The 20,360-nt window shown below is 41.8% G+C and overlaps 1 protein-coding gene across 1 annotated transcript in view; it reads left to right on the top strand.

Annotated features, from left to right (window-relative positions):
- The window catches only part of PARP4 (poly(ADP-ribose) polymerase family member 4), a 91,848-nt gene that overhangs the window by 10,046 nt on the left and 61,442 nt on the right, over positions 1 to 20,360 (top strand). The window contains exons 3-12 of the mRNA NM_006437.4: positions 899 to 1,100; positions 2,351 to 2,417; positions 3,357 to 3,432; positions 4,504 to 4,617; positions 8,011 to 8,160; positions 9,000 to 9,137; positions 10,139 to 10,312; positions 11,905 to 12,065; positions 16,428 to 16,565; positions 17,985 to 18,080. Of these exons, the coding sequence (NP_006428.2) occupies positions 899 to 1,100; positions 2,351 to 2,417; positions 3,357 to 3,432; positions 4,504 to 4,617; positions 8,011 to 8,160; positions 9,000 to 9,137; positions 10,139 to 10,312; positions 11,905 to 12,065; positions 16,428 to 16,565; positions 17,985 to 18,080 (1,316 nt within the window). The remainder of the gene's footprint in view (positions 1 to 898; positions 1,101 to 2,350; positions 2,418 to 3,356; positions 3,433 to 4,503; positions 4,618 to 8,010; positions 8,161 to 8,999; positions 9,138 to 10,138; positions 10,313 to 11,904; positions 12,066 to 16,427; positions 16,566 to 17,984; positions 18,081 to 20,360) is intronic.

Below are 20,360 nucleotides of genomic sequence, written 5' to 3'. Positions count from 1 at the left end.
TCTCAGTTTGTCTTCTGTGTGAACTGCCAACATGGTCTCTCCTTTTTAGAAAGTCACATACTGTGAGTGCAACTTTGTGGAAGTCAATGTACATAAACATGTGAAATGTGCATCCCAGCTACTGTAGATAATGAGGCAGCTGTATATGTAATGTTGAGGAACAATCACCAAGATAATTTCAGTGGAAAAGCCAGCACGGAAGAGGCTGAGGAGCACGCTGCCATGTATCTACGCATAGTGTAGCTCTAGCAGGATTCGCGAGGAGCAAGTGACAGCAGGTGCCTCTGCAGAGAGGAACTGGGGACAACAGTGGGGATGAAGTTAATACGTCGTCATTATTTTATTTTTTAGATATTCTACAATGTGAATTTACTATTTATTAAAAAATAAATAAAATTATAAGCGGGCATGTTGGCTCATGCCTGTAAACTCAGCTGAGATGGGAGAATCACTTGAGGCTGAGAGTTCAAGACCAGCCTGGTCAACATAGCAAGACCCTATCTCTACAAAAAAAACAAGATTTTCTAAAATTACAAATCAAAATAAATAATAACCTTTGAACCTCCCTTTCCACTACTAAGAAAATAATTGAACAAGTGCACAAGGATGTGTACATGAGGATAGTCATCACAGCGTTGTTTACAATAATGAAAATTTAGAAATAACCTCTAGGGTTAATCAATTATGGTGCATTCGTAGCCATATCCTTTAAAAACAGTTGATTTTTAAAATGTTTATGTAACTAGAAACTGTGATATTTATAGAGGTTTTTCGAAATTTGAGAAAGATTATCACAAACTACCTTAATACTTTCTAAGGGTGAAAATTACAGATACAAATATCTTATTTAAATGTTGTTTTTCTTGATGCATAATGGATTGACTCTTTTTTTCCTTAGTGCACACATATAATCTTAGATAATGCTGATGTTCTGAGTCAGTACCAACTGAATTCTATCCAAAAGAACCACGTTCATATTGCAAACCCAGATTTTATATGGAAATCTATCAGGGAAAAGAGACTCTTGGATGTAAAGAATTATGATCCTTATAAGCCCCTGGACATCACACCACCTCCTGATCAGAAGGCGAGCAGTTCTGGTAGGTATTTCATAGCAAGCATTTAACGTATCATAGGTGCCATAGTACACGCTTGGGTTTGTCAAAGATACCATAGGCAGAGAATTGTCCAGAAATACTAAAAAAAAATTAGACTTATTACCTCAGAAAATGGACAGAAAAATAACAAAGGACAAAAGACTACTTTAGCACTAGAAACAGATTTCTTGATATCTAGCCTAGTAGGGTCAGACTCAAAATGGCCACAAAACACTGATCATCTCAGAAAACCTGATTGTGCTTTTAACTAGGGGGAGGGGAAAGCCTTTGTGTTAAACAGTGATTACTACAACCTAATGACTGGAAATTTGATGACCAGCATTTTGCTGAAGAAATTCTTTCCAAACAAAAGATTGTCTCCCCAAAAGAAACATATTTTCTTTATAAGCCAAGATTTTATTTTGGAAACTGGCCAAGAAGAAAGCCTTTGGACATGAAAAATGCACTCTTCCTGAGTCATATCAAAAATCACACAGTTCTGATAAATACTAACTCACAGTAAGCACACGGTATGTGTTAGATACCGTACTGACTTGGCAGGGTGGAGCCTCCTTAGACAATAGTCCAGAAATGCTGCTGCAGTCCCAGCACATGTCCCAGCAAATGATAGTTACAACAGAAATAAAATAGTAGACTCATTTCACATTGAAAACATACTGTATGACAGCCAGCATAATTTATTCAGATTCCAAATTACTACAAATACACTGATGATCCTTGGAATCTTGACAGTATAATTAAAACTGGAAAGAAGTCCTCACATTGAGTTATTCCTGTATATCACAATGCTCTAGATAGTGTTACTGTTTCTCTGTACAGAAAGTATGAAGCAAAAGCTCATGCAGAGCCCTTGACTTTCCCTCCTCTAAGCTAGAACATCTCCAGCTCCTTCGCTCGTGATGTGCCGACTCTCAGGAACTCATTCTGATCCTGTGCACTTTGTACTCTTCAAGAAGAAAGTGCCAATTGAAAATTGTATGGCTATCAATGAGTTTCAAATAATAACAGATGAGAATCCTCCTGATATGCTTATTAAAATAGAATTAGAGTATGTTCTCCCTATTTTATAAGGTTATACCTTCCTCTTTTCCCACTGGGTTATCCTTTGATCACCAAAATTATAACTAATTTAAGGATATATTTATGAATCTTAACAATTCCAGCACTTAGGTTAACTAATTATAGTAAGTCTTTGGGCAGTAAACAAGTGTGCTGTTTGCTTTTAATTCTAGAAGTGAAAACAGAAGGTCTATGCCCGGACAGTGCCACAGAGGAGGAAGACACTGTGGAACTCACTGAGTAATTTACTTCTTTCTGATTCCTGGGACTCTACAGAGTTTGTAAAATCTTGTGTAAACCTCAAGCACAGTATTAAAATTCTATTTGTAGACTTTTTCTTATTTTAATTTATTTTGCATATCTAACTCAAGTGATTTTTTATTTGAGTCTTTTTCTTCAACTAGTATAGTGATCATTATTTTAAATTCTCAGTATTAAATGAGATTGGGTGCAATTATTGAATTGATTTTTAAAAAGAAAACCAGTGGGTTTTTTTTTTAATTCTTTTAAAAAAAAACCTATTTTCATCCTATTATTTTCCTGAGCAGCCTTTAGAGTAAAGACAGTTTGTTACTTTTGCCTGATGTTTTCAAAAATGGAAATAACAACAGCCTTCCTCAAATGGAGTATGGGAGTCTAAAGTTCTATATGGTTTCTTAAAGCATACCCAAAACATCGGGTTAATTAGGCATCACATTCAATCTTGTTGTATTTGTTAATAATAGTGTTTAAAGAGAAGAAAATCCAAAATGAAAAGTACAGATTATGAGAAGTCTGACTCCTTTATTTTAGAGAGGAATGGACTGTGGTCTGGAGAGGAGTGACATAGCTTCTAAGAGTCAGATCCAAAGCAAACACAAGTAGCCCATCCCCAGAGTGTGCGGCCCACTTCTTTCTGCCTCTGCCGCGTGGAGACCATCTTCCAGTGCAGACGCTACAGTGCTGGGTATCTGAGCTGGAGATTATGCAGAGGAGGCATCCAGCTCATTTCCAATGATCTTTTAACAATTTCTGGAAGAGCTAAGGAGGCCTTAGGGACTTACCATGTGGACTTACCATGTGTTTTGTAAGGAATCTATCATGTATTTTGTAAAGATGTACAAGAAAAAATTTATGAAATTCTGTTTAGCCTAAAATCCATTTAATGTTAAAATTTTAATTATACACTACAAATTTCAGGTTTGGTATGCAGAATGTTGAAATTCCTCATCTTCCTCAAGATTTTGAAGTTGCAAAATATAACACCTTGGAGAAAGTAAGAATCTGATTTCTAGTTAGCAAAAAAAAAAAAAAACACACCTGTTTGAATGTCTTCTGGGTGTTTTTCCTATTCGGTCATTTTCTCATTGTTTTGAAAAATTATGCATATCCTGAATATCATATAGTCCTTAAAATATGAGTTAATTTTATTTATATATTTATTTTTGTGGAGACAGAATCTCACTATTTTGCTGGTCTCGAACTCCTGGGCTCAAGCCATCCTCCCTCCTTAGCCTCCCAAAGTGCTGGGATTACAAGCATGAGCCACTGCACCCAGACCTGATTTTTAACAGTCAAGAAAATGTTTATGTTTAGAATTTAAAGTTTAAATTTTTAGTGTTTATATTATAAAAGTAATGCATGCTCATAGCAAAAATTTTAAACAGTATAAAATATCAATATGGCATTAAACATAAAAGTGCTCTTCCCTGTTACTAACAGTTTCTTGTATTTGGAAAAGGAAGGTTTGACACTAAGTATTTACACTATGTTGCGTTTCCATTCCTTTTGCATTAGAAAGAAAAACAAAATCCTTTTTTTTTTTCCCCACAAATGAAAATCAACACTAGTGTCTGATGTGGCATCACTTGCCTATAGTCCCAGCTACTTAGGGGGCTAAGGCAGGTGGATCTCTTGAGCTCAGGAGTTTGAGGCCACCCTGGGCAATGTGGCAAGACCTGTCTCTAAAATATATATATAGATATAAATCGACACTAGCCTTCAAAGTGATGTTCCATTTGTATTTTGAGATATGTTAATAAAATGTAACTTGAAAATAACATTTCCCTCTTTGATAAGGAAAACATGAAAAGTGGTATGGTATAAACACACAGATCTATTTATGGGATGGTAAAAATACAGGAGGGAAACATACCAAAATATTAATAGTGATCGTATTGCTCTCGGGATTTTAGGAGATTTTAATTTTCTTCTTGATACTTTTCTATATTTTCTAAATTATATCTCTAAATGAACATATTTTATAATTATAATCAACATTTTCAAATGGCACATGTAGTTTGATGTTTCCCGAGTGCAGCTTCTGAAAGCACATCCTGTTTTCCAGGTGGGAATGGAGGGAGGCCAGGAAGCTGTGGTGGTGGAGCTTCAGTGTTCGCGGGACTCCAGGGACTGTCCTTTCCTGATATCCTCACACTTCCTCCTGGATGATGGCATGGAGGTAATGCTGTTTATATTGATTCCTATGTGTTTACTGACCTCTGTTCATAACTCATTTCAATGAATCAGCCGACCTCCCAACCTTTTTCTTCTTACCTGTTGTCTTAGCTCAGGCTGCTATTAATAAATGCAACAGGCTAGGGAGCTTAAACAACATTTATTTCTCACAGTGCAAAAAGCTGGAAGTCCAAGGTCAAAGTACAGCAGGGTTGATTTCTTCTGAAGTGAGGCCTCTCTCTTTGGCTTACAGACAGCTGCCTTCTTGCTGTGTCCTCACATGGTCTTCCACCTGTGGGCATCTGTGTCCTCATCTCTACACATGAGGATAGCAGTCATATTGGATCAGGGCCCACCCTTATGATCTCACTTAATTAATCAATTACCTCTTGAAAGGCTCTGTCTCCAAACACAATCCCGTTGTTGAGGTCCTGGGAGTTAGGACTTCAGCATATGCATTTTGTAGGGGTACAGTTCAGCCATAACACCTGGTAAATAATTTTGCAAAGGGGAAATGTGTTCTCTTTTGGAGTGTGGGAGGTGAGGACCTCACCCCCTGAGTAGATCAGCACAGGGTCCCGCTAGAAGGGAATGTTTACTGGGTGCAGGGTGTATAGCATTTCTGCCCTTGTTCCACATCACTTTTGGGATATTTTCCTAATATTTACACCTCTGAAAGCATTCCACTGATATACTTCATTAAGCACCTGCTGTGTACCAAGCAATCGACTAGGGCTGACACTCAAAGATAAAAATAGCTTCACACCCTGGCGTCAGAGATCACTGTCTAGAAAGAAATAACACTCATCATTACAATCCACTGTGACATTTCCAATCCTGAATATATATATGGGGTATTGAGGGCTCAAGGTCACAGAGCCCTGGGAACAACAAAGGAGGCTTTGCAGAGGCCATACCTTTGCCCTAGGTCAGTATCAGGTCAAGAGCACAGTTCCAATCTAAAACAATCATGAAACAAAAATAAATTTAGAATTAATGCCTGAAGTTCAAATAAAATGCTGCAACACCCACCAGGATGCCTTCTCAAGTAGACATTCAGAGTTACAGATCTATCTTTTTTTTTCTTCTTTTTCCCCGAGACAGAGTCTCACTCTGTTGCCCATGCTGGAGTGCAGTGGTGCGATCTCGGCTCACTGCAACCTCTGCCTCCCAGGTTCAAGCGATTCTTGTGCCTCAGCCTCCTGAGTAGCTGGGATTACAGGCATGCGCTGCCACGCCTGGCTAATTTTTGTATTTTTAGTAGAGACGGGGTTTCACCATGTTGGCCAGGCTGGTCTCGAACTCCTGACCTCATGATCTGCTTGCCTTGGCCTCCCAAAGTGCTGGGATTACAGGCATGAGCCACTGCGTCCTGCCTACAGCTCTGTCTTGGGCCAGGAAACAGTCACTTCTCCGTGAGAGTGGCCCTCACAGAGGCCCACACAGGCTCCAGGAGCTTTTCCCTTTGTTCCCACTCTGAGTGTCAGCTCAGGTACAAGAGAAAGAGACTCACGTCAGGTGGATGTGAGATCCACTTGGCTTGGAAGCCCTACCCCACAAGAGCCCATAGCTCTTGTAGCATTGTCTCGGGTTCCAGATGCCCTCAAGGGACATACCCAATTATATGAGTCACTGCTCTCTGACAAGCCCAAAGCTTGGGTTTCCCACCATTGAGCCCCCAGTATCAATGCAATTTATCAATGAGAGGCCACAATTACATAAGCAATTTTGCCTACTATTACAGCTGACATGCCATCTTTATCAGATTTCCATGGGAACAGAGCTAGAAAGCTAATCCATGGTCAAATGTGTCCAAGAAGGAGAAAGGGTTTTGTTACCCTTGTACCCTGAAATGCATACTGGATTTTGTGGAGGATATAGTTGTTTGGGTAAGAAGTAAGTAAAAATGAAGGTGAAAAACATGATAGAATGTGTTATTGTTTTCTTCATTGAGAAAGAAAACCATAGCATCGTTTAGGCCAGGACATCCCTCAGGGTGCCTTCCTCCCTTAGCAAGCCCGAGTCTGTAGAGATGATAGAATGTGTCGTTGTTTTCTTCATTGAGAAAGAAAACCGTAGCATCGTGTAGGCCAGGACATCCCTCAGGGTGCCTTCCTCCCTTAGCGAGCCCGAGTCTGTGTAGAGCACCCCTGGGTGAGCCTGGTTTGCTGAGCAGAGAAGCCTGTCCACCTTGATAGCAGTGAGCCTCAGTCCACCGTTCTGCTGAAGAGGATTTTCCAGCCTGCCCTTCTGCTTAATAAAACCATTTTGATGGGAATCTTCCAAAATTATGTTAAACTCTACCGTCTTAAATGGAGTGACTTCAACAGGCACTCCTATTTTCCAAGTTTCAGAGGCATCCTGCGGCCCCCCTATCTGGGAGGGCGGCTTATGGGTATCCTGAGTAGTGTGGCTTCCCAGGGGTCCACACCCCCAAGCCAGGGGCTCAACCAACACCTACAAGGACACCATGGCTTTGAGCTGGGGCAGGTTCTTCCAGATTTTCCTGGGGTTAATGTTAGGATCACTGCCTACTACAGAGGCAGGAGTTGCCCAGAAGAGCAGAAAGTGCCGCCTCCACAGGCAGTTTGGGATGAGGGAGGAGCTGGAGCCTTTAACATGTGCATGACCTAATAACTTTCCTGCCTGTCTACTGGCTGTGATTTCATTTTCGCTGTGTGCCCGTCTCTAACAGTTCTTCCTTTCTGAAGTATTTTTCTTTTCTTCCCCTTCCCCTCCAGATTTTTTTTTTCTCATTTCCAAAAAGCTGGAAAACCAGATTTACAAGCTAGTTAGACTGGTTTGTAAGGAGTCTGTAGACTTGGAAGGAAGCTTTGAGTAACTCTCCAGTGAAACAAATGATCTTTTCTGTCTGCTGTGCATTCTCAAGCTTTTTCCCCTCTACCTCCAGGTTTTAGGCTATTAAGAGTTTAAAATTTTGGTAATTCTGGCCAGGCATGGTGGCTTACGCCTGTAATCCTAGCCCTTTGGGAGGCCGAGGTGGGTGGATTTCTTGAGGTCAAGAGTTATTCAAGCCAACATGGTTGAAACCCCATCTCTACCAAAAAAATACAAAAAAAATTAGCCAGGTGTGGTGGCACATGCCTGTGGTCCCAGCTACTCAGGAGGCTGAGGCAGAAGAATCGCTTGAACCCAGGAGGTGGAGGTTGCAGTGAGTTGAGATTGTGCTACTGCACTCCAGTCTGGGCGACAGAGCAAGACCCTGTCTCAAAAAAAAAAGAAAAAGAAAAGAAAAAGAATTTAAAATTTAAGTAATTCTTTGAAAAAAACTAATTTCTAAGCTTCTTCATGTCAAGGACCTACTGCTTTATTTATGTTCAATAAAGCTAGATATGTAAATAATGACTGTACTTTTGCTATACACCATAATTCACAGACTAGAAGACAGTTTGCTATAAAGAAAACCTCTGAAGATGCAAGTGAATACTTTGAAAATTACATTGAAGAACTGAAGAAACAAGGATTTCTACTAAGAGAACATTTCACACCTGAAGCAACCCAATTAGCATCTGAACAATTGCAAGCAGTGAGATTGATTTATAATTTTTTTGTTGTTGATTGAATATTTTTAATAGAAATGTTTTCTCTATTACAAATAAAAGACTGGGCCAGGCTTCGTGGCTCATGCCTGTATCCCAGCAGTTTGGGAGGCCAAGGCAGGAGGATCACTTGAGGCCAGGAGTTCAAGACCAGCCTTGGCAACATAGAGAGACCCATTTCTACGTAAACTGAAAAACATTACCCAGGAATGGTGGTGTACCTGTAGTCTTAGCTACTCATGAGGCTGAGGCAGGAGGACCACTTGAATTCAGCAGTTCGAGGTTACAGTGAGCTATGATCATGCCACTGCACCCCAACCTGGGCAATACAGCAAGACCCTGTCTCAAGTAAATAAATAAATGTCAGGAGGGAAGAGGAGGAGTTCAGAAAAGGAAATCTGAACTCATAGAAAGGCATGGAAGTTGAGTGGGGAATGTGTTTTAGAACAAGACAGGAGATGTATTGCTTATTTCAGCAGCAGACCCTCCCAGCTTTTGGGAGATGTCTTTACAACCTAGGCCATGAGTCAAGGGTCCTTAATCCTGACTTCGTGTGTTGACTACTACTGACAGGCCTAGAGCTTACAGGGTGAAGGAAAAAAATAGAACAGGAAGAAAAGCGGGTAGGAGGGAATCAGAGAAGAGAGAATGGAGGAAGACAGAGGGAGGATCTAGTAGAGAAAGGATTTAGTTACCTGGCTGGGGATGACTCTCCTGGGCTCTAATCAATTATTTCTCCTCACACCTCTGTTCGTTGGCCCATGTAAGTTTTACACAAACTCACACATGATGACTTTTTGGTGGCATTTCTATTTTATTATTGTAGTTGCTTTTGGAGGAAGTCATGAATTCAAGCACTCTGAGCCAAGAGGTGAGCGATTTAGTAGAGATGATTTGGGCAGAGGCCCTGGGCCACCTGGAACACATGCTTCTCAAGCCAGTGAACAGGATTAGCCTCAACGATGTAAGTTGGTGTGTCGCTGAAACAGAATGTGAAAAATCTGCCTCCTGGTTGATTGGCTTCAGCAATAACACGTGTGTTTGCATGCTGGCCTGACTGCTCTGGAATTCATTCCTAAATGTTCTTTCCTTGTACCGGTACTGAAGAAAGAGACCACTAACAGCACTAAGGAGAAAAGCTTCTGAGAAAACTAGACATCCCTGTCTGTAAAATGTCAGCCTCAAGAGCTGATCGAAGGCAGGCTTCTGGTGCTGGCCAATTAGGAGGCCTGATCCTCTGTGCCAAGAGGCTTGCAGGAAGCTGGAGGGTTATGGGTGGTCTTGGTCCCCAGTCAGATGCCTTAACCGCAGTCCATTTCCTAGTGACTCCACAGTCTTGCACCTTCTGTCTTAGGAAAGGCAGGCATGCCTCCAGACCACCAGAAAATGTTCTTCCCTTCTTGATTAAGCATAATTGCAATGAAAAGAGCAGACAAAAGAAGATACCCCAATGGTACAACTTGTGCAACTGCATTGTTGTATTGAAATAATATGGTCAATTTTCCTCTGTGGAATTAAACTAATTTATCTCAAGGAGAAAATGGCTAACTGGGATAAAGCCCATGAAGTACTTGTGTAATTAGAAACACATTCAGGAGGTTTTTATCCCTGGTCTGATTCTGACAGCTTTCTAAATTTCTCATGTGAAAAGCAAGTCTATCACAGTTGCATTAGTGTTTCTCTCTCTGTGTATAGGTATGTAGATGTGTCCACATATGTATAGAAATATAAGACTCTGGTTCTTTCTTCTAGTAAAACTGAGCCTAGTTTTGCAACAATCCTCATGGCATCTTTGCCACAACTGAGATACGTCTCCAATAAAGATCAGCATTTGCTTTGTGAAGGCTCTCCAGTAGAAAATGGATAGTCTTGACATGTCTAACAATTATTTATATAGTTTTGTGCATGCTCCTTAATTTCTGTATTGAGATTTCATTGTAATAAGCATATATGATCTGTTGAAAGGTGAGCAAGGCAGAGGGGATTCTCCTTCTAGTAAAGGCAGCACTGAAAAATGGAGAAACAGCAGAGCAATTGCAAAAGATGATGACAGAGTTTTACAGACTGATACCTCACAAAGGCACAATGCCCAAAGAAGTGAACCTGGGACTATTGGCTAAGAAAGCAGACCTCTGCCAGGTAAACCTCTGAAATATAGAATTCTATTTATTATAAAATATGTTGAGGGTGGGGGTCTTTAGAAATCTGATGAATGAGGTAACACTGAATCATGAAATTGTCTCCAGAGTTGTACTAGAAAATAAATTGTTGAACCATTTTAGAAAGCCCTGGATCCTTATGAAAGTTAAACCATATTTTCAAATGTGAATATGTTGGCACAGTGACATAAGTGCAGAAATAGGTTTAAAATTGCTATCTTGTAAAATAACTTTTCAGACTCTGGAATGAGTTCGGATCCTCTGCAGGAGAAAGGGGAAACTGCAGCTGACTTAAACGATAAGGACATTTACGTTCTCAGACAATAAGAAGTCCAGCTGTGGGCTGCCTGCTGGCCCAGGTCACCCCGAGACTCAGTGTGTCAGTGTTATCAGGGTCCCAGCCTCCTTCCGTCCCTCTGTACTTCCTGTAGAGTGACGGCTCTGCTCTTAGCCTGGCTTCCTCGTGATCTGCAGATGGCTGCAGTAGTTCATGGCATCCCATCTGTAATAGTTCTTTTTGTGTCACATAGAGGAAGCCCCTGGCAGACTCATATTTCTCTGGTCAGAATGAAGTCATGTGCACAATCTCAAACCAGTCACTGGTGAGGAGATTGGAGCCACTGTGGCTGCTCAGAAATGGGCCATCTCCTCTGAGCTGCCAGGAGAGAAGCAGGCTTAGTGAGTAGAGGAAGGCAGCCACAGCAGCCAACCCTGCCTTAGACTAGGCTGAAGTCACTCTCTTGGTCCGTGTTCCCTCATCTGTGCATGCAGGGATTTGGCCAAGATCAGAGATTTGTGTCCTAGACTTCAGAGGAGTTTATAGATGTGAAATTTTGCATGTTTGGGAAATAATCGCTTTCAACAGATTCCCAGAGGAATCAGTAATCCAAAATAAGGAAAGAACTGGTCAATGAGAAAATATAAGACCCTTCCAAATTTAAAATTCTATGATTTACCTAACATCAAACATAAAGAGTCTGTCAGTCGGGTGTGGTGGCTCACGCCTGTAAGCCCAGCACTTTGGGAGGCCAAGGCAGATGGATCACCAGTCAGGAGTTTGAGACCAGCCTGGCCAACATGGTGAAACCCCATCTCTATTAAAAATACAAGAAGTTAGCTAGGCATGGTGGCATGCACCTGTAATCCCAGTTACTTAGGAGGCTGAGGCAGGAGAATCGCTTGAACCCAGGAGGCAGAGATTGCAGTGAGTCAAGATCATGCCACTGCACTCCAGCCTGGTCAACAAGAGCAAAACTCCATCTAAAAAAAAAAAAAAAATGTCAGTCATGAGTGTTGCTAAGAGGGAACGTATAGTGCCCATTCAAATACAATTCTGGAGGCTAAGGTAGGAGGATCTATTGAACTCAGGAGGTTGAGGCTGCAATGAGCTATGGTCATGCCACTACACTCCAGCGTGGGTGAGAGCAAGACCCATCTCAAAAATAAATAAAGTAAAACAAGCTTTGGGGGAAAATGGACTTTTCCTATCTTTTTGAGAAAGTGTTAATGTGATATAAATATTAATTTTGATATGTGGTGATTCTGACATCTGTGTATTATTTCCACCTACAGCTAATAAGAGACATGGTTAATGTCTGTGAAACTAATTTGTCCAAACCCAACCCACCATCCCTGGCCAAATACCGAGCTTTGAGGTGCAAAATTGAGCATGTTGAACAGAATACTGAAGAATTTCTCAGGGTTAGAAAAGAGGTTTTGCAGAATCATCACAGGTAAGCATAAAGGAAATATCTCAGGATCTGTTATAATATAATGCTCTTTGAGACTCCGTTAAAGAGCTAATTACAGTAATTACCTAGATAATCTTCAGCAACAAGCCACAGTAGCGGTGGTGTGATGACACATTACTTTCTTCTCTGTTCAGAACGGTGCCTGGGGCAGTTTTCTGTGCTTGAAAACACCCTCTATATTCCACTCCGATTTCAAGGTTACCTAATCTTGTTGAGGGTTAAATTTAAAAATTTTAAAACGTGTTTGAGTTTGTATTTTGTAGGTTATTACAGAGAAAAAGCCACTTAAACTGATTTAAATGTGCAGGAATATGGGTATGGCGTCTCTAACGTGGCCTCTCTGTGGCATGAAAAACTGCCCCTGAAAACCTGGAAAACACGTTCCTAAATACCAGTTACACTTGGGCCCTCATTCACTGTGCATACCCAGGGTCCTGCGCTGAGGGGCATTCTCCAGTAACAACAAACATGATGGACCACCTGCTCAGATGAGCCCTTGCTGGGTGTCAGCACCCCTGAGGGTCACCGTGGCTGAGTCTGTGCCCAGCTTCTCAGTTTGGAAACCCCATTGCATGCTTGTTCTCAAGCATGGGACTGACTCTTTTGACCTGGTGGTTCATTCCATTGCAGCAGTTCCTCTTCGTCAGCTTGGCACAGCCCTTAGAACAAATGGTGGTGAGTTGTAGCCGCACACACCAGCTTATGAGAGCCAGTTGTCAACATTTAAGAGATTTGGTGAGCTGGTTGTTAAACCATGGGTAGCTTGAAATTGGACACGGGGAGGATTTGCGCCATGGAAATCAGCAAATGCTGCAAATCAGGGCTGTGCGGGGGCGTTGCTGCTGTTGTTTAGAGAGCTGGTTTTCCAGAGCCCCACTAAAACCACACCCAGCCACTCTTACCTTATGGCCTGACTCAGACCCATCTAAAATTATGTTCTACTTTCCTTTATCATTCTCAAAATCCATTCCCAAAACCACTTCACATTTACTAAGATGGCTATGATTTCTTTTGTTTTTTTATTTTATTTTTTATTTTTTTGAGACGGAGTCTCGCTCTGTCGCCCAGGCTGGAGTGCAGTGACGCGATCTCGGCTCACTGCAAGCTCTGCCTCCCAGGTTCACGCCATTCTCCTGCCTCAGCCACCCCCCTCAGCTGGGACTATAGACGCACGCCACCACGCCTGGCTAATTTTTGTATTTTTAGTAGAGACGGGGTTTCACTGCTTTAGCCAGGATGGTCTTGATCTCCTGACCTTGTGATCTGCCAGCCTCGGCCTCCCAAAGTGCTGGGATTACAGGCATGAGCCACCACGCCCAGCCATATGATTTCTTTTTAATGGAAAATTATAAGTGTTGGTGAGGATATAGAGAGACTGAAAGCATCACACATTGCTGATGGGAGGGAAAAATGATGCAGCCTGCGTTAGATGATTCCTCAACAAATTAAACTTGATTACGATAAGACCCAGCAATTCCACTCCTAGTTCTATACTCAAAGGAATTGAAAGCAAGTACTCAAATAGGTACTTGTACATGAATATTCATAGCAACACTATTCACAACAGCCAAAAGGTGGTTAAATAACCCAAATGTTCATCAACAGGGAAGTGGATAAACAAAACGTGATAAATATATGTAATAGAATATTATTCGGCCATGAAAAAGTAATGAAGCACTGACACATACTACAAATGGGTGAACCTCAAAAATATTACGCTGAGTGAAAGAAGCCACATATTGTACGATTCTGTTTATATGAAATATCTAGAATAGATAAATCCACGGAGACAGCAAATTGTGTGGTGCCATTAGAGGGAGGGTTGGGGACTGACAGCCAAAAGGTACGGGGTTTTCTTTTGGGCAAATAAAAATTTTGGAACTAGAGGTGGTGATTACATGACATTTTGAATGTTCTGTACTAAATACTACCAAATTGTACACTTAATGGTTAATTTTATCTTTTTGGAATTTCACTTTAATTTTTAAAAAGTCCGGGCCGGGCATGGTGGCTCATGCCTGTAATTCCAGCACTTTGGGAGGCCGAGGTGGGCAGATCACTTGAGGTCAGGAGTTTGAGACCAGCCTGGGCAACATGGTGAAACCCTGTCTCAACTAAAAATACAAAAATTAGCCGGGCATGGTGGCACACGTTTGTGGTTCCAGTTACTCCAGGGGCTGAGGCACAAGAATCGCTTGAACCCGGGAGGTGGAGGTTGCAGTGAGCCAGGATTGCACCACTGCACTCCAGCCTGGGAGACAGAACAGGACTCTGTCTCAAAAACATTCATTCCCACAGGCCTTCTCCAGATTTTGTTTTTATATGTAATCAAATTCTTTTGGTTTGACTTTTGACCCTCCCCTAGGTGTCCGCTGAGATCTGTACTAAGAGTCCGGTGACATGGAAGGTAGAATCAGGAGGGCAATAAGCTTTCTCCAGGAAGACAGGAAGAGCCACGTCAAGCCCCGGGAGTGGCAGCTGCAGTTCAGCCCTCCAGGGCTACCTGAGCAAGCCCTTGGCGAGCCGCCCCACCCCCTAAGTACAAAAGCAGTCACACAGCTAAAGTGGGCTTCTTCCTAGGGAAAGATCCTGCTGCTGTGAAAAGTTAGATTTCCTTCATTTCACTAATCATGATTTCTTTATATTACTTTTTTCTAGTTATAAAACTCATGTTCTTTTCTAAAAGCTTAGAAAATATCTAAAAATATGAAGAAAATTAAAAATCACTCAAAATCTCACCACCCAAAGACAACCCTGAGATAATATAACCACTGTTAACATTTGGGTGTAGAACATAACCCAGCCTGAATCACCCCGATGCTGCTCACCCGGGGGTGTGCTGGTAAGCCAGCTCTGTGAAGGAAAAGTCCTGGTCTGGAATATTTGCTGAGTTCTGGGAAGCAAATACTCCCACCACAGCTAATGTCAAGGTGCTGACCTGAGGCCACTGGACATGGGGTTGGGAAGATGTGCCCTTCCTCCCACCACAGCTGCCCTCAGCCGTACCCCCGTCTCCCCCAACAACTGCCCCATCTTAGCTACCCACTCAGAGCCAGTGTGGGGTCTCTCTGTCCCTCATCCCCACATAACCATGTTCTGTCAATTCTGCCTTCAAAGTGTCCTTCATCTGTTGGCTACTTCCATTCACTCTGCCGCCATCTTTAATCCAGATCCTGTTATCCTGTCTACAGTGTCCTTCCAGATGCTCCCCTCTACTCCTGCCCCATCCAACCCATCACAACCAGTGAGGTCTTAAAATAGACATTTTATGGTGCCACATTCCAATAAATGTCACCTCCCAAGAGAGTACTTTCTTGACAACCCTCTCTCCAAACCTGCTTGGTTTCCTAAACAGCACTTAAGGTATTTGATCACTTTTTTTTTTTTTTTTTTGACGGAGCCTTGCTCTGTGGCCAGGCTGGAGTGCAATGGCGTGATCTTGGCTCACTGCAACCTCTGCCTCCCGGCTTCAAGCGATTCTCCTGCCTCAGCCTCCTGAGTAGCTGGGACTACAGGTGTGCACCACCATGCCCTGCTAATTTTTGTATTTTTAGTAGGGACGAGGTTTCACCATGTTGGCTAGGATGGTCTTGATCTCCTGACCTCATGATCCGCCCACCACAGCCTCCCAAAGTGCTGGGGTTACAGGGGTGAGCCACCATGCCCGGCCGATAACTTTCTTTTCTTTGAGACAGAGTCTCGTTCTGTCGCCCAGTCTGGAGTGCAGTGGCGCGATCTCGGCTCATTGCAACCTCTACACCACCCCCCGCCCCGGGTTCAAGTGATTCTCCTGCCTCAGCCTCCTGAGTAGCTGAGACTACAGGTGTGCACCACCATGCCCTGCTAATTTTTGTATTTTTAGGAGAGACGGGGTTTCACCATGTTGCCCAGGCTGGTCTCAAACTTCTGGGCTCCAGTGATCTAACTGCCTTGGCCTCCCAGAGTGCTGGGATTACAGGCCTGAGCCATTGCGCCCAGCCAGAAGTTGCATTCTTTTTTATTGTTGTTGAAAGACATGGTCTTGCTCTGTTGCCCAGAGCAAGAATTATATATTCCATATACTATTGTTTATTTGACAAAATTGGGATAATACTATGTATAAAGTTTTGTAATCTTTTAAATTTTATATTTTACTGTATACTTTACTACATATCCTTATTTTTGTTAAATAATATGGTTATTTTAATACCTACATAATACTTCCAAGATATGCTGTGCTGTGACTCATTGAATCAGTTTCCTGATAATGGACATTTGGACTCTTTTGGGATTTCTTCTGCTATAATGACTTTTTGTTTTGTTTCCAATTATGTAATCTAAAGGCTTTTCTTCTAATTCTTACAGTAAGAGCCCAGTGGATGTCTTGCAGATATTTAGAGTTGGCAGAGTGAATGAAACCACAGAGTTTTTGAGCAAACTTGGTAATGTGAGGCCCTTGTTGCATGGTTCTCCTGTACAAAACATCGTGGGAATCTTGTGTCGGTAAGAGTAGCCATCTTTATTTTTCAAAAATTTCAGGCTCACAAATGTGAAGTGTTTTACTTCTTTTTTTCCTACTTTTTTCTATATTACGTGAGTCTTTTCAGTTAAAATCAGCTAGCTTACTGCATTCTGGAGAAAATTACACACTTTATAATTAAGTGTGTAATTTAAATTACATATTTATGGCCAGGCATGGTGGGTCACACCTGTAATCCTAATACTTTGGGAGGCTGAGGCAGAAGGATCACTTGAGGCCAGGGGTTCAAGACCAGCCTGGAAAACCTAGCAAGACCTTATCTCTATTTTGAAAAATTATGTATTTATTATTTTTAAAGTGTAGTATATAGGTATGAATTGCTTCTTGAAGACTGTATCGTATGAAGAAAAGTGATTCTATATTCATGAGTCTTCCATGTGTATCTAATCTAGGGATAGCCCAATATTTAAAGAGAAGAGTCCAGAAATTAGAGTGTGCATCAGACAACATGAGTTGTTTATTTGAAACATAACTCTAAGATTCTGTTTGCTTTGAATTACTACTTAATATTAGGGCTGAAACTGAAGTCACAGGAGCAGGAGAAAATATTGTTAAATGTAGATCCATTAATTACTCAGAAGAAACTTAAAAAGAAACATACAAGATCCACCTGGGGAAAAGAAAGAAAAAACCAAAAAACCATTAAACTGCTACTGAGGGACCCAAAAGACAACTTGCATGAATCAGAAGGATGCCAGTTTTTCTTGGATTAGTCTATAGATTTAGTGCAATCATGATAAAATTACCAATAAGATTTTTTTAAAGAAGTGAAAAGCTGATTCTACAACATATTTTTTTTATATTTTGAAATTACCAGAATAATTCTGGAAAAGAAGCACAATGAGGGTGACATTAATATTAAACACAAATGAACCCAAAAACACAGAAGATTTAGGATATGATACAAGTAGATCTTATCTCTGTGGAAGAAAGACAAGTTCTTCAATACTATCTATAGAGATAAATGGGTAACCACAAGGAAAAAATACAAAGTTGGACCTTTACCTCATTTCTCATACTTTAACTCCAGACAGAGCAAATATTTAAATATTTAAAATCAAACCATAAAAGTATACTAAATGAAAAATGGGAGAATCTTCTTAAAATAATCTTTAAGTAGGGATGAGCTTTCTAAGTAGGACCAAAACCCAAAAGCTATTTTACAAAATTCATTCAATCTCCTAATGTGAAATTCAAACAATAGATGTTTATATAATAAAAGGCAGAAATTTCCCTTGTGTTTCCGGAAACAACCATGGCTTCACCCTGATTGCAGAGTTCTCTGAATGCCAGAAGTTCAGTAGGAACCTGCCAAAATTCTGAGCAAGGAAGAGATGCAGTCAGTGTTGGGCTTACACCTTATCCTGCCCTTCTCTTTTCAGAGGGTTGCTTTTACCCAAAGTAGTGGAAGATCGTGGTGTGCAAAGAACAGACGTCGGAAACCTTGGAAGTGGGATTTATTTCAGTGATTCGCTCAGGTATGTTCGATCCTTAATCACAGAATCGTTACTGAATACTTGCTGTGTATTTTCTTCTGTCTTTCCTTGGTGAGGGAGTTTCTCAACCAAAACACAGATTTATCTATTATATATGACCTCAATGTGGCTGGAATACTATTTCATCTTCAGCATCCTTGATAATGTTTAAATCTGCCCTTATGCCAGACATGGTGGCTCGTGCCTGTACTCCCAGCTCTTTTGGAGGCCAGGGTGGGAGGATCACTTGAGCCCAGGAGTTTAAGACCAGCCTATGCAGCATAGCAAGACCCTATCTCTACAAAAAAATTAAAAAATTAGCCGTGCATGGTGGCGCTAATAGAACCTATAGTTCTAGCTACTGGGGAGGCTGAGGCAGGAGGATCACTTGAGTCCAGGAATTCAAGGCTGGAGTGAGCTATGATTATGTCACTGCAGTCCAGCTTGGGCAACACAGTGAGAAGAACCCCATGTACATCATCTGCCAACCTCATAATTGGTATTGTGACATCATTTAATGCAAGGAAACAGACTCAGGGAGGTCAGGGAACTTGCCTAAGGTTGCAGAGCTAATTAAAGGATGGAGACTGAGTTCAGGCCCAGGACAAAGGATAATGATCCAAGATATTTAAAGAGTTCCTACAAATCAATAAGGAAAAGATAAACAATCCTATAAGCAGATGTGCAAAAGACTTAAATAGAAACCTAATAGCAAAGAAGACGAGCTGGGGCCAGGCGCAGTAGCTCATGCCTGTAATCCCAGCACTTTGGGAGGCCAAGGCAGGTAGATCACTTGAGGCCAGGAGTTCGAGACCAGCCTGGCCAATGTGGCGAAACCCCATCTCTAATAAAAATACAAAAATTAGCTGGGCGTGGTGGTGTGCACCTGTAGTCCCAGCTACTCAAGAGGGTGAGGCAGGAGACTGGCTTGAACCTAGGAGGCAGAGATTGCAGTGAGCTGAGATGGTGCCACTGCACTCCAGCCTGGGTGACAAGAGCAAGATTCTGTCTCAAAAAATGAGCTGAGTGCAGTGGCACACACCTGTAGTCCCAGCTACTCAGGAGTTTGAGGCAGAAAGATTGCTTGAGTCCAGGAGGTTGAGATTAGCCTAGGCAACACAACAAGACCCCATCTCTAAAAAAAACTTTTTTTTTTTTTTTTTGAGACGGAGTCTCGCTCTGTCGCCCAGGCCGGACTGCGGACTGCAGTGGCACAATCTCGGCTCACTGCAAGCTCCGCTTCCCGGGTTCACGCCATTCTCCTGCCTCAGCCTCCCGAGTAGCTGGGATTACAGGTGCCCACCACCGCGCCTGGCTAATTTTTTGTATTTTTAGTAGAGACGGGGTTTCACCTTGTTAGCCAGGATGGTCTCGATCTCCTGACCTCATGATCCACCCGCCTCGGCCTCCCAAAGTGCTGGGATTACAGGCGTGAGCCACCGCGCCCGGCCAAAAAAAACTTTTTAAAATTAGCCAGGCATTGTGTCACACACCTGTAATCAAAGCTACTCAGGAGGCTGAGGCAGGAGGACTGCTTGAGCCCAGCAGTCCAAGGCCACAGTGAGGTATGACTGAACCACTACATCCAGCTTGGGAGACAAAGCGAGACCCAATCTCTTAAAAAAAAAAAAGAAAAGAAGAAAAAAAGAGCACTGTAGTAACAGAACACTGGAAATCATGCAGATGTCCATCGACAGTGGAATGGATCCGTACATTTTGGTGGAGTCCTACATGAAGTCCTGTCCTTCAGTTGAAACAAGTGGACTGTGGCTACACATGTCAAATGGATGAGCCTTAGGACCTTAGTGGATGAAAAGTTATTAGATGATTCCTTATACAGGCATACCTTGGAGATATTGAGGGTTTGGTTCCACACTACTGCAATATAGCAAATACTGCAATAAAGTGAGTCACACACATTTTTGGTTTCCCAATGAGTATAAGAGGTTTACACTCTAGTCTATTAAAGTGTGCAATAGCATTGTGTTTAAAAAAAAAACAATGTACATAACCTTAATTTTAACTTACTTTATTACTAAAAATCCTAACGATCATCTAAGCCTTCAGTGAGCCATTGTCTTTTTGCCGGTGGAAGGTCTCGTGTCAATGTCTATGGCTGCTGACTGATTAGGGTGGTGGTTGCTGAAAGTTGAGGTGGCTGTGGCAATTTCTTAAAATAAGACAACAATGAAGTTTGCCTCAGCAATTGACTCTTCCTTTCATGAAAGATTTATCTGTAGTATGAGATGCTATTTGATAGCATTTACCTAAAGTAGAACTTCC

The sequence above is a fragment of the Homo sapiens genome, chromosome 13 (genome assembly GCF_000001405.40).
Source record: "Homo sapiens chromosome 13, GRCh38.p14 Primary Assembly".
Classification (NCBI taxonomy): domain Eukaryota; kingdom Metazoa; phylum Chordata; class Mammalia; order Primates; family Hominidae; genus Homo; species Homo sapiens.
This window is presented reverse-complemented; position numbering and strand designations above follow the sequence as displayed.